Consider the following 12,830-nt stretch of genomic DNA (forward strand, 5'->3'; position numbering starts at 1 on the left):
AAGCAGGCTTCCTGGAGAAATATAAAAAGCTAGGCATACTGTTAGTGGGAATGTAAACTGTGGAAAACAGTATTGTGGTTCCTCAAAAAATTAAAATAGAATTACCATATGATCCACCAAGTTCACTTCTGGGTTTATACTCAAAAGAATTGAAATCAGAACTTTTAAGAGACATTCATACACCCTGGTTCACAGCAGCACTATTCACAATAGCCAAGAGCTGGAAGCAACTCAATTGTCTGTCGATGGACGAATAAACAAAATATAGAATACACAGTGGAATATTATTCAGCCTTAAAAAGGAAGAACAGTTGGGTGTGGTGGCTCATGCCTGTTATCCCGGCATTTTGCAAGGCTGAGGCAGGCGGATCACCTGAGGTCAGGAGTTCAAGACCAGCCTGGCCAACATGGTAAAACCCTGTCTCTACTAAAAATACAAAAATTAGCCAGGTGTGGTGGTGCATGCCTTTAATCCCAGCTACTCAGGAGGCTGAGACAGGAGAATCACTTGAACCTGGGAGGCGGAGGTTGCAGTGAGCCGAGATTGTGCCACCACACTCCAGCCTAGGTGACAGACAAGACCCCATCTCAAAAAAAAAAAGAAAAGAAAAGAAAAAGGAAAAAGGAAAGACATTCTGACACATGCTATATCATGAATGAACTTTGAGGACATTATGCTAAGTGACATTAGCCAGCCACAAAAAGACAAATACTGTATGGTTCCATGTATGTGACATCTCTAGAGTAATAAAATTCATAGAAGCAGAAAGTAGAATGGTGATTAGCAGGGGCTTTGTGGAGGAGTGGGCAATGGGGAGTTTTTTAATGGGAATAGAGTTTCAGCTTGGAAAGGAAAAAATTCTGGAGCTTGGTCGAACAACAATATGAATGTACTTAACACTACTGTATTGTACACTTAGAACTGGCTGAGGTAAAATTTGTGTTGTATGTTTTCTTACCACCATAAACAAACAAACTAACACAAATATACATACACCTATGGAGGGAAAAGAAGTTAGGCAGGCCATGTTTAGTATCCAATTGATGCTTGAGATAATTCATTTATAGAGAAATTAGCTGATTAGCTAAGTTACAAACTTTTCTCCAGCAATATTCTGCTGCTCAGGTATGTAGGTAGAGAAGGGAAATATTTGTGTTCATTCAGGATGGGGCTCTACAAAGAGAGAGGGGCCAGGGAGCTGAAGGAGTTTGTGAAGAAGTGTGGTAGATTGTCTTACTGTCCAATAAGAATTTTCTCCTCCTGCCTTCCCTGACCCCAACCCAGGGCATGGAAAAGAGTTCCCTGCCCACATTGCCCTTGGGCTTGACCATTGACTTGTTTTGACCAACAGGCTGGCAGAAGTGTCAGGGTGCCTGTCCCAAGGCTGGGCCTTAGGAAGTCTTGCATGTTCCCCTCCTTCTCTTATGCTCCTGCCATCTGCCATGGAAAGAGCTTGCCCCAGCCAGCCACGGCTCCTTCACTGCGGTCGTAGAATAACAGACCCCCAAGCACCAAGCCCAGTTGTTAAGCACCAGACCAGTGGGACTCTTGGGAGGAAGGACACTGTGCTGGGTAAGCCACTGAGATTTGGGGGCTTCGTCAGGTGGATTTCACTATGTGAAACAGTTTTGTACCCTGTTTCTCTCCCTCAACAAGAGATCTTGAGCATTTGGCCAGGTGCAGTGCCTCCCACCTGTAATCCCAGCACTCTGGGAGGCCGAGGTTGGCAGGTCACTTGAGGTCAGGAGTTTGAGACCAGTCTGGCCAACATGGTGAAACCCCATCTCTACTAAAAATATAAAAAATTAGCTGGGTGTGGTGGCGGGTGCCTGTAATCCCAGCTACTTGGGAGGCTGAGGCAGGAGAATCACTTCAACCAGGAGGCAGAGGTTGCAGTGAGCTGAGATCGTGCCATTGCACTCCAGCCTGGGCAACAGAGCAAGACTCCATCTCAAAAAAAAAAAAAAAAAAAGAGAGAGCGAGATCTTGAGCATTTAAAACTTCAAGGACATTATTCTCAATGGCTGAATATTCCATTTAATAAATAACATAATTTACTGAATGGTTCTTTCATTATTGGGACACTTAGAATTTTCCATGTTTTCATTGTATTGCAGGAAATAAAATGAAATAACATTGCAGGAAATATTGTATATAAATTCCAAATACAAGGTATAAATACTTTTAAATTTATATTTTGACCCCAGTACAATATGCATATGGATTTTTAAAAATCAAACAAAAAATAACAAAAGATTAGTGGATATTTGAACAAAGCCTCTAAAAATCAAGGACAGAAACTGTGAGGTATTGCTAGGATAGCCCCAGTTTCTTCTACCAGGAGGTTGAATTAATAATTTCACCACAGCCGGGCAGAGTGGCTGATGCCTGTAATCCCAGCACTTTGGGAGGTCGAGGCAGGCAGATGACTTGAGGTCAGGAGTTTGAGACCAGCCTGGGAACATGGCGAAACCCCGTCTCTACTAAAAAAAAAAACAACAAAATTTAGCCGGGCGTGGTGGCGTGCACCTGTAATCCCAGCTACCTGGTGAGGCTGAGGCATGAGAATCCCTTGAACATGGGAGGCAGAGGTTGTAGTGAGCAGCTGAGATCACGCCACTGCACTCCAGCCTGGGTGACAAAGTGAGACTCTGTCTCAAAATAATAATAATAATTTCACCACCACTGAGATGATCTCGTGACATGTTTTGTCCAACAAAATGAGGCAGAAGTGACATTATACAGTTCTGATCCTGGGTCTCAGGAGGCCTGGGGTTTCTGCTGTGTTGCAGAACCCTGCCCAGCCATCCTGAGAACAGCCCAATCTGGCCTGCCTGATGGAGGATAAGAAACCACATGAAGCAGAGCCAAGTAATACCAGCTGAGTCCTAAAAGCTCCGCCAGCCCCAACTAACCACCAGCTGCCTTTCTACAAGTGAATGATCCCAAGCAAAGTCAGCAGAGCCCAATATAAATCAGCAGAACAAATCAACCAACCAACCAACTGGTAGACTTGTGACTAAAAACAGATGATACTTTTATATGTCACTAAGACTTTGTAGTTGTTTATTAGGCAGCGTCATTGTGCCAGTAGATAACCAATACAGGAATCAAAACTTTAAAAACAGGAAAAGAAGCTTCCTTCCAGTTTTCAATCGGACATATGAGGAACTTGGAAGTCATGACTCCATCTTAATAAGTTAAAAAAACCGAACAAACTAAAAATCAGCAACTCTTGGCTGGTTGCAGTGGGTCATGCCTGTAATCCCAGCACTTTGGGAGGCTGAGGTGGGAAGATTGCTTGAGCTCAGGCGTTCGAGACCAGCCTGGGAAACATGGGGAGACCCCCGTCTCTACAAAAATAAAAAATAAAAATAAGCTGGGTGTGGTGACGTCTGCCTGTAGTCCCAGCTACTTAGGAGGCTGAAGTGGGAAGATTGCTTGAGTCTGAGGGGGTCAAACCTGCAATAAGCCAAGATTGACTGGGTGACAGAGTGAGACTGTCTCAAAAAAAAAAAAAACTTCTTAGATCTGTCACAGAATTGAGGTCACAGGGCAAACCACTGCCTCCAAAATTGGAGAGACAGACAGATCGTACAGAGAATCACAACTTATCACTGCAGAGTCACAGGTGCAGAGACCTTGCTAGGAACAAGTACAGGGACAGGAAAGCCTGAACTGCAATTTACAAATTGCTGGAGGCTCAGTGTGGACAAGTCTAAGAGTTTAAAACTCCGGGGATGGGGCCAGTCTTGAAGGGCATGCCCATACTTTTGGTTTCTTGGGGGTTTTTTTGTTTGTTTGTTTTGAGACAGGGTCTCCCCCTGTTACCCAGGCTGGAGTGCAGTGGCACAATCTCGGCTCACTGCAACCTCCACCTCCCAGGTTCAAGCGATCCTCTCATCTCAACCTCCTGAGTACCTGGGATAACAGGCGTGTGCCACCACGCCCAGCCAATCTTTGTATTTTTAGTAGAGATGGGGTTTCACCATGTTGATCAGGCTGGTTTCAAACTCCTGACCTCAAGTGATCCACCCACCTTGGCCTCCCAAAGTGCCAGGATTACAGGCATGAGCCACCGCGCCCAGCCACATGCCATACTTTTGTGAGTTTTACCTTCAGGAGTTCTACTGGTTTCTCACAGTAAAGACTGGAGAAAACCCCCCTCATGAGGTTTCTTACAAAGCTAACCATTCTCCTACCATACCATTTTCATCAATCACACTCCTTAGTATTTACTCAAAGGACTTGAAAATGTGTCCATGCAAAAACCTGCATACTGACGTTTATAGCAGCTTTATTTGTAATTGCCAAAAGTTGGAAGCAACCAAGATGTTCTTCAGTAGGTGAATGGGTAAATAAACCAGTACATCCAGAGAACGGAATATTATTCAGGGCTAAAAAGGAATGTACTCTCAAGCTATGAAAATAAATAGAGGAATCTTCACTGTTTATTACTTAGTGAAATAAGCCAACCCGAAAAGGCCGCATGCTATATGATTCTAACTATATGGCATTCAGGAAAAGGCCGAACTATGGAGACACTAGAAAGTTCAGTGGTCTCCAGGGTTTGGGAAGGGTAGGGAGGGGTAAACAGGCAGAGCATACAGGATTTTTAGGGCAGTGAAGCTATTCTGTGTGATACTATAATGATGAATGCATGTCATTATACATTTGTCAAAGCCCAAAGAATGTATAATACCAACAGTGAGCCCTAATGTAAACTTGGACTTTGGGTGACAACAATGTGTCAGTGTAGGTTCAACAATTGTCACAAATCTACCACCCTGGTACGGGGTATTGCTGACGCAGAAGACTGTGTGTTGTGGGTTGGAGGAAGGAGGTATATGGTAGCTGTACTTTCTCTTCAGTTTTGGCTAAACTGTTAAAAAAAATAAGTGTTCTTAAAAAATGATCATGCCAGGTGCGGTGGCTCACGCCTGTAATCCCAACACTTGGGGAGGCCGAGGCAGGCGGATCACGAGGTCAAGAGATCGAGACCACCCTGGCTAACACGGTGAAACCCCGTCTCTACTAAAAATACAAAAAATTAGCCGGGCGTAGTGGCGGGCGCCTGTAGTCCCAGCTACTCGGGAGGCTGAGGCAGGAGAATGGCGTGAACCTGGAAGGCGGAGCTTGCAGTGAGCCGAGATCACGCCACTGCGCTCCAGCCTGGGCGACAGAGCGAGACTCCATCAAAAAAAAAAAAAAAAAAAAGATCAAAAGTCTCAAAGCAACAATGTAAGGTCCCACCTCAAGAACTTAAAAAAAGAAGAGCAAAATAAACTCAAAGCAAATAGAAGAAAGAAAATAATAAAAGCAGAACTTAATGGAAACAAAAACAAAAAAAAATAATAAAGTCAATAAAACAAGGAGTTGATTCTTGGAGAAAACAACAAAATTGTCAAAACTTTACCAAGACTGAGAAAGAAAAAAGGAAAACACAAATTACCAATATCGGGAATAAAACAGAGGCTATCAGTAGACATTGCAGACATCGAAAGAATAACAAGAAAATATTACAAACTGCTCTACACATATAAATTTGATAACACAGATTGCACAAAAAGAAAGTAAAATACTCAGATATACATCTATCAAAACTTTCCGGCCGGCACGGTGGCTCCATGAGCCGTGTTCGTGCCACGGCACTCTGGCCTAGGCAACAGAGCAAGACCCTGTCTCAAAAGTACAAATTTAAAAAAAAAAACTTGCACAGGATCTGTAGGCTGAAACTACAAAATGCCAGTGAAAGAAATCAAAGATCTAAATAAATGGAGAGGCATCACATGTTCATGAATTGGAAGACTCATCACAGAAAAGATGTCAGTTCTCCATAAAAATTGCATAGGTTTAAAAAAATACCCATCAAAACCCCAGCAGAGTTTTTTGTAGATATAGACAACATTAGTTTAAAATGTATCCAGAAAGGCAAAAGAATAGCTAATACAATTTTGAGAAAGAGAAATAAAATGGGAGTAATCAGCCTACCCAATTTCAAGACTTACAATACAGCTACAGTAATCAAGACTGTGTTGTGCTAGTGGAGGAAGAGACACATAGATCAATGGAACAGAGCAGAGTATCCAGAATTAGATGCACAAAAATATGCACGACTGATATTTGACAAAGGCACAAACACAATTCAATGAAGAAAAGTTGGCCTTTTCAGCCGGGCGCAGTGGCTCACGCCTGTAATCCCAGCACTTTGGGAGGCTGAGGCGGGTGGATCACAAGGTCAGGAGTTCGAGACCAGCCTGGCCAACACGGTGAAACCCCATCTCTACTAAAAATAAAAAATTAGCCAGGCATGGTGGCAGGCACCTGTAGTCCCAGCTACTCGGGAGGCTGAAGCAGGAGAATTCCTTGAACCTGAGAGGCGGAGGTTGCAGTGAGCCGAGATCGTGCCACTGCACTCTAGCCTGGGCAACAGAGCGAGACTCCATCTCAAAAAAAGAAAAGAAAAGAAAAGAAAAGAAAAGTTGGCCTTTTCATCAAGTGATACTGGGACAACTGGATAGCCAGAGGCAAAAAATGACCCACCTAAACCCCACACCTTCTACAAAAATTAACTCAAAATGGATTGCAGACTTAAATGAAAAATGTAAAACCATAATACTTTTATAAATAAACAAAGAACATCTCCAGAGTTTAGGGCTTACACTTGATAGCAAAAGCACTATCTGTAAAAGGAAAAAAACTGTATATTGAACTTTATCAAAATTAAAACTTTTTGCTCTGGGCTGGGTGCAGTGGCTTATACCTGTATCCTGGCACTTTGGGAGGCCAAAGCAGGAGGATCGCTTGAGGCTAGGAGTTCAAGACCAGCCTGGGCAACATGGCAAAATCCCATCTCTACAAAAAATTTTAAAATTAGCCAGGCATGCTGGCATGTGCCTGTAGTCCCAGCTACATGGAAAGCTGAGGTGGGTGGATCGCTTGAGCCCAGGAGTCTGAGGTTGCAGTGAGCTGTGATCACACCACTGCACTCCAGTCTGGGTGGTAAAGTGAGACCCTGTCTCAGAAAACTATTATTATTATTATTATTATTATTATTATTATTATTGTTATTGTTATTTTGCTCTGTGAAAGACTGTTGAGAGGGTGAAAGGCAAGCTATAAACTAGGAGATAATATTTGTGAGTCACTTATTCAACAAAGGACAAGTATTTAGAAAACATAAGGAATCCCTAAAACTCAACGGTATGAAAATACGCCATCCAGTTAGAATAAAATGGGCAAAAAATATGAAGAGATATTTCTCTGAAGAGGATGTACAGATAACAAATAAATACATGAAAAGATGCTCAACAATGTCAGCCATCAGGGAGATGCAAATTGAAACCACTATGCGATATTATACACATCTATCAGAATGGCTAAAATACAAAACAGAATAGGGACAACATCAAATGCTGGTGAGGATGTGGAGAAAACGGATCCCTCATACATTGCAGGTGGGAATGTAAAATGAAATAGCCCCCTGGAAAACAGTTTGACAGTTTCTTTAAAAAAAAAAATCTAAACATGCAACTCCCATATGACCCAACAATTTCACTCTTGGGTAATTATCCCAGAGAATAAAAACTTAAGTTCAGATATGAACTTATACATGAATGATTATAGCAGCCTTATTCTCAACAGCCCAAACTAGAAAGAAACCTAATTCCTTTAATGGGAAATGGTTCTAAAAAAGATAGTACTTTTATATCATGGACTACTATTCAGCACTAAAAAGGAATAAACTGGTCAGGCACAGTGGCTCACACCTGTAATCCCAGCACTTTGGGAGGCTGAAGCAGGAGGATCACTGAAGCCAGGAGTTCGAGACCAGCCTAGGCAACATAGTGAGACCCTGTCTCTATTAAAAAAAAAAAAAAATAGCTGGGCATGGTAGTGCAGCCTACAGTTCCAGCTACTCCAGAGGCTGAGGTGGGAGGGTCGCTTGAGCCTGGGAGGTTGAGGCTGCATGATCACACCACTGCACTCCAGCCTGGGTGACAGAGTGAGACACTGTCTCAAAAATAAATAAATAAATAAATAAATAAATAAAAGGAATAAACTATTGATACAAATAATAACCTGGTAGGATTGGCAGAAAATTATGCTAAGTGAAAGAAAGCCAATTATAAAAGTTTATATATTATATGATTCCATTCTTGAAATGGGAAAGTTAGAGAAATGGGTTAAGGAGGGAGTGGCTGCAGGAGGCAAGTGGGTGTGGCTATAAGAGAGCAACACGAAAGATCCTGGTAGGGACAGAAGTGTGTGTATCTGATGTGTTATGTCAATGTCCACATCCTGGTTGTAATATTGTACTGTAGTTTTGCAGGATGTTACCATAGCAGCCAAGGATACACAGGACCTCTAGATTATTTTGTACAGTTACATGTGAATCTAGTATATTTATCTCAAAATAGAAAGTTTAATTGAAAACAATCAAACATTAAAAGATGCATTAAAAGATGGAGTCAGTGACATTTTCCAAAAGTAGAACAGCAATAAAAAAATAAGATGGAAAGTAGGAAACAAACCCACAAGAAAGAGATGGCATTCATTCAGGTGGTCTGAAATTGTGAAGGCTAATTTTATGTCAACTTGACTGGGCTGAGGGATGCCCATGGCTAAACATTATTTCTGGGCGTGTCTGTGAGGCTGTTTCCAGAGGAGATCCACATGGGAATTGGTGAAGTGAATAAAGCAAATGGCCTCCCTCACTTGGGTGGCCATCCTCCAATTCACTGAGAACCTGAATAAAACAAAACAGCAAAAAAGAACAAATTTGCTCTGTTTGAGCTGAAACATCCTTCTCCTGCCCTTGGACATCAGCACCCTTGGTTCTCATGCTTTTGTGCTTAAGCTAAGACGCCACCAGCCTCCTGATTCTCAGGCCTTCTGACTTCCACTGATCTCCACCACCAGCTTTCCTGGGTCTCAGCTTGCAGATGGCAGATCATGGGATTCCTCAGCCTCCATAACCACACAAGTGAATTCCATAAGAAATCTCAGCCGGGCACGGTGGCTCACGCCTGTAATCTCAGCAGTTTGGGAGGCTGAGGCGGGTGGATCACCTGAGGTCAGGAGTTCAAGATCAGCCTGGCCAACATGGTGAAACCCTGTCTCTACTAAAAATACAACAATTAGCTGGGTGTGGTGGCACACGCCTATAATCCCAGCTACTTGGGAGGCTGAGGCAGGAGAATTGCTTGAACCTGGGAGTCAGAGGTTGCAGTGAGCTGAGATCGTACCACTGCACTCCAGCCCTGGCAACAGGGCGAGACTCCGTCTCAAAAAAAGAAACACAACAACAAAAGAAATCTCAATCTTTCTCTCTCTGAAAAAGCAAGAGAGCATGAATGTCATGTTGGTTCTTTTTCTCTGGAGAACCCTGACTAACACAATACAGACATCCAACTCAGAAGAGTTCCAAGAAAGAACAGAGAAAACAGTGGGGAAGGAGATTATCAAGGAACTAATACAAAAAACCACCAGAATGAAAGGAACTTATTTCCCACATTGCAAGATCCATATAAAGGTAAATCATCACAAAATGTCAGAACTCTAGGGTCAAAGAACACAGAGAGGAAAAAGGAAAAGGGTCTTCTGGGGGTTCTGTGGTATAAGCCATATCACTTCTCGCTCCCCTGCCCGCCCCCCGCCCCCGCCCCCGCCCCCCACTGCTGACTGAGGATGCAGTAGCCTCCCATCTGCGAAGTCAATGACCACTCCTCCATCTGCTTCCCAGCTCCATTCTCTGGGGGTCTTGCTCATCTTACTGTCAGTTTAGCCAAGATTCAGGAGAGAGCTGAGCCTAATACCTGGGCTCAGTCTACCCTCTCAACTCAGAAGTCGGGCGCTAGAATGTTACCCTACGTTAGATTCTGAAATCCAAATTTTTGCTTCTGCCTCTGGCCACCTCACAAGGGACTCACGTGCAACCAAGCATCGGCGATGCCTTCCCCACCTCTCAGGCTGCAACCTGGCCAGGGCGGCTCTTTTCACGTGACTTTGCCCTTGATATGCTTGTTCATCTGAGTCCATATGTTACCTGTTTAGCAAGTGGGTGATGGCGTCCCTCTGTGAGGAGGTAGACGGATGCTGAGAAAATTAGTTCCTAGTGCAACTCGAGGGGTGGGGAGAGGCTTTTGCCTGCCTTACATCAACCTTGCTAAGATGTTATTTTTTAATTACACAATAATATTTGAATAATATCACAAAAATTAAACCATTACAAAAGATTCCTCCTATACTTGCCATTTCCAATACCAGAGGCATAAATTTCCAGTCCTTTTTGTATACATTTTCCTAGATGTTTATGTATCCATAAGAAATATATTGTGCTGCTTTAGTGTGGATTTTTTTTTCCTTTAACACATGAGAAAACGGTATGTCATATTGCAGTTTGCTTTTTTTTTCTTTTTCACTCAATAATGTATGTCAGCCACCTTCCCATGTCAGGACTGGCAAATCTCCCATCTTTACATTTTACTATTACATGGAGTTTATAGTAAGGATGACACATTTTATAGCCATTCTGCTTGGGATAGATGTTTCCGTTTTTCCAGGATTTTTGCAAGTGATGGGGCTGCACAGCAGTCTGTGGTCCAAAGCCCCGTGCCGGCCCATAGGTGCAGTTTATTAGCCGTCTACCACAAGATAAGAACAGAAATTTGGGATAGGTGTTGAGAAACTTTTATAGCAATTTGGCGGGGTAATGTCATATCGAATCTTCCAATAAAAATTGGAGGCTTATATTTTCTAAGTCTTTATTTTTTAAATTTTCACTTCTCTAGTAATTCATTTTTACTACAAAAGTAAAAATGTACGTGTTTATGACAGATCAGAAATAAAAACTAGACCACAGTCTGAGCACAGTGGCTCAAGCCTATAATCCCAGCACTTTGGGAGGCCGAGGCGGGTGATCACTTGAGGTTAGGAGTTCAAGACCAGCGTGGCCAACATGGTGAAACCCCGTCTCTACAAAAAATACAAAAATTAGCCAGGCATGGTGGCATACACCTGTAGTCCCAGCTACTTGGGAGGCTGAGGCACGAGAATTGCCTGAACCTGGGAGGCAGAGGTTGCAGTGAGCCGAGGCCGCACCACTGCACTCTAATCTGGGTGACAGAGCAAGACTCCATCTCAAGAAAAACATAACAAACCAAAACAAAACAATAGACCTTGCCCCCAGATTCCCAGATTTTTGAGAAGAGCTGCTTTTGTGGACAGCTTAATGCATGCCTACCCTCTCATTCTCATGTCAGCATCTCTCTGCCATAAATCTAAAGAATGACTCTCTGGGGCACAGGATTTAGACATCATTTATTGTAATCGAGAGTGGCAATTTGCCCCTCAAAAGGCTAGATCCCCACCACCATTGGTATCTTGTTGTAACTCACATGTTCCTGAATACCAACGAGACGGAGCTTCTTTTTGTATGTGTATTATCCATATATATGTCCTTTGAAGCCAGCCTCAAGTCCAGGAAGTCAGCCAAGTCCTGGGTTGTGATAATCCTCCTGCAGCCTCATCTGGTTTGAACTTCCCAGAAGTCCTAGGAGGTGAACCAGGCAGGGATAATTTCCTCTTTAAACATTCCAGTTCCTCCTGTGGGACATTGAGGCTGAGGCTGCACCCAGGCCACATGCATATGTATTTATTGGCAGGGCTGGGCCTGAGACTAGGTCTCCTAGCCTAGAATTCCCTCCAAAGATTCACGAGAGTCCAAAGACTAACACCCATGGCCCGGGTCCAAAAGTTCACTAAGAGGACAGGCTGAGGCTACATGATGGGGGAAGGGGGGAGTCAGAATTAGGGCCAAGAACTAGATCTGGGAGGTCAGGGAGGGAAAGGAGAAACAGTGAGAAACTGTGACGCAGCACAACATATATCTCAGCACTGGGAATGTCTATCTTCTGGCGCTGTCGGAGGAGATAAGTAGATTATCTGTCAGCCCAACAGTCTAAGCAAAGAAGAAGCCAGGAGTTCCTTCCGTCAATTCACCTAATCTTTTAACACTGCTTATCGGTGGGGTCGATGTAACTCAAACCTCCTAAAACAACACGGGGTTTATCCTGTCCGACTCAAGCAATGAACTTGCAACTACCAAGACATCAGGCCAAACCATCACTCATTTTGCTCAGGTGTGCCTTTGTGCAAATACTCACCCTGCCAAGTCTGGGAGGCCATTTCCAGAAACCATGGGTGGTGGGTTGTAATGGCCGGTCTGCCTCGTGGCAGGCAAGCAGGTAGCAGTGAAGGAACATGCCATGAGAAGTGGGTGCAAAGAGAGAAGATCTCAGAGTTGGGTGGAGACTTAGAACCATCTAACCCAATCCTTACCCACATTCATAGGTTCAAGTACCAGGTCTCTGCACCATTTCTAGACATTACTTAGCTTCCCTGAACCTCAGTTTATTCATCTGTAAAATGGGCTCTGCCTGCAGTGGGTGACATTGGGGCTGCACCTGTATCCTGCAGACCCTGATCATCCCTGTGTACAACTTTGCCTGTGTGCTTAGAAGTGTTAGAGAATTCACACTCCCAGGAGCAACCCCCCCAAATAGCCTAACACCCCAACTCCTGAGGGGCAGGATCATTCTTAGGTATGAGTTCTACACTGTCTCCCAGGGACCCCCCATGAGACTGAGCTCCAGCTACCCACAGCAATGAGGTGCTTGACAATACACCCCAAATCAGTCGCCCTCCTCTCCCTCTTTCACTTCCCTACAGCCCCTTGAGATCACTGTCCATATAAAACACTTGCACAAGAATCCATGCAACAGAGTCAGCTTCTGGGGGAACCCAAATTAAGAAACTTTCCAACTTT

The sequence above is a fragment of the Homo sapiens genome, chromosome 20 (assembly GCF_000001405.40).
Source record: "Homo sapiens chromosome 20, GRCh38.p14 Primary Assembly".
NCBI lineage: Eukaryota > Metazoa > Chordata > Mammalia > Primates > Hominidae > Homo > Homo sapiens.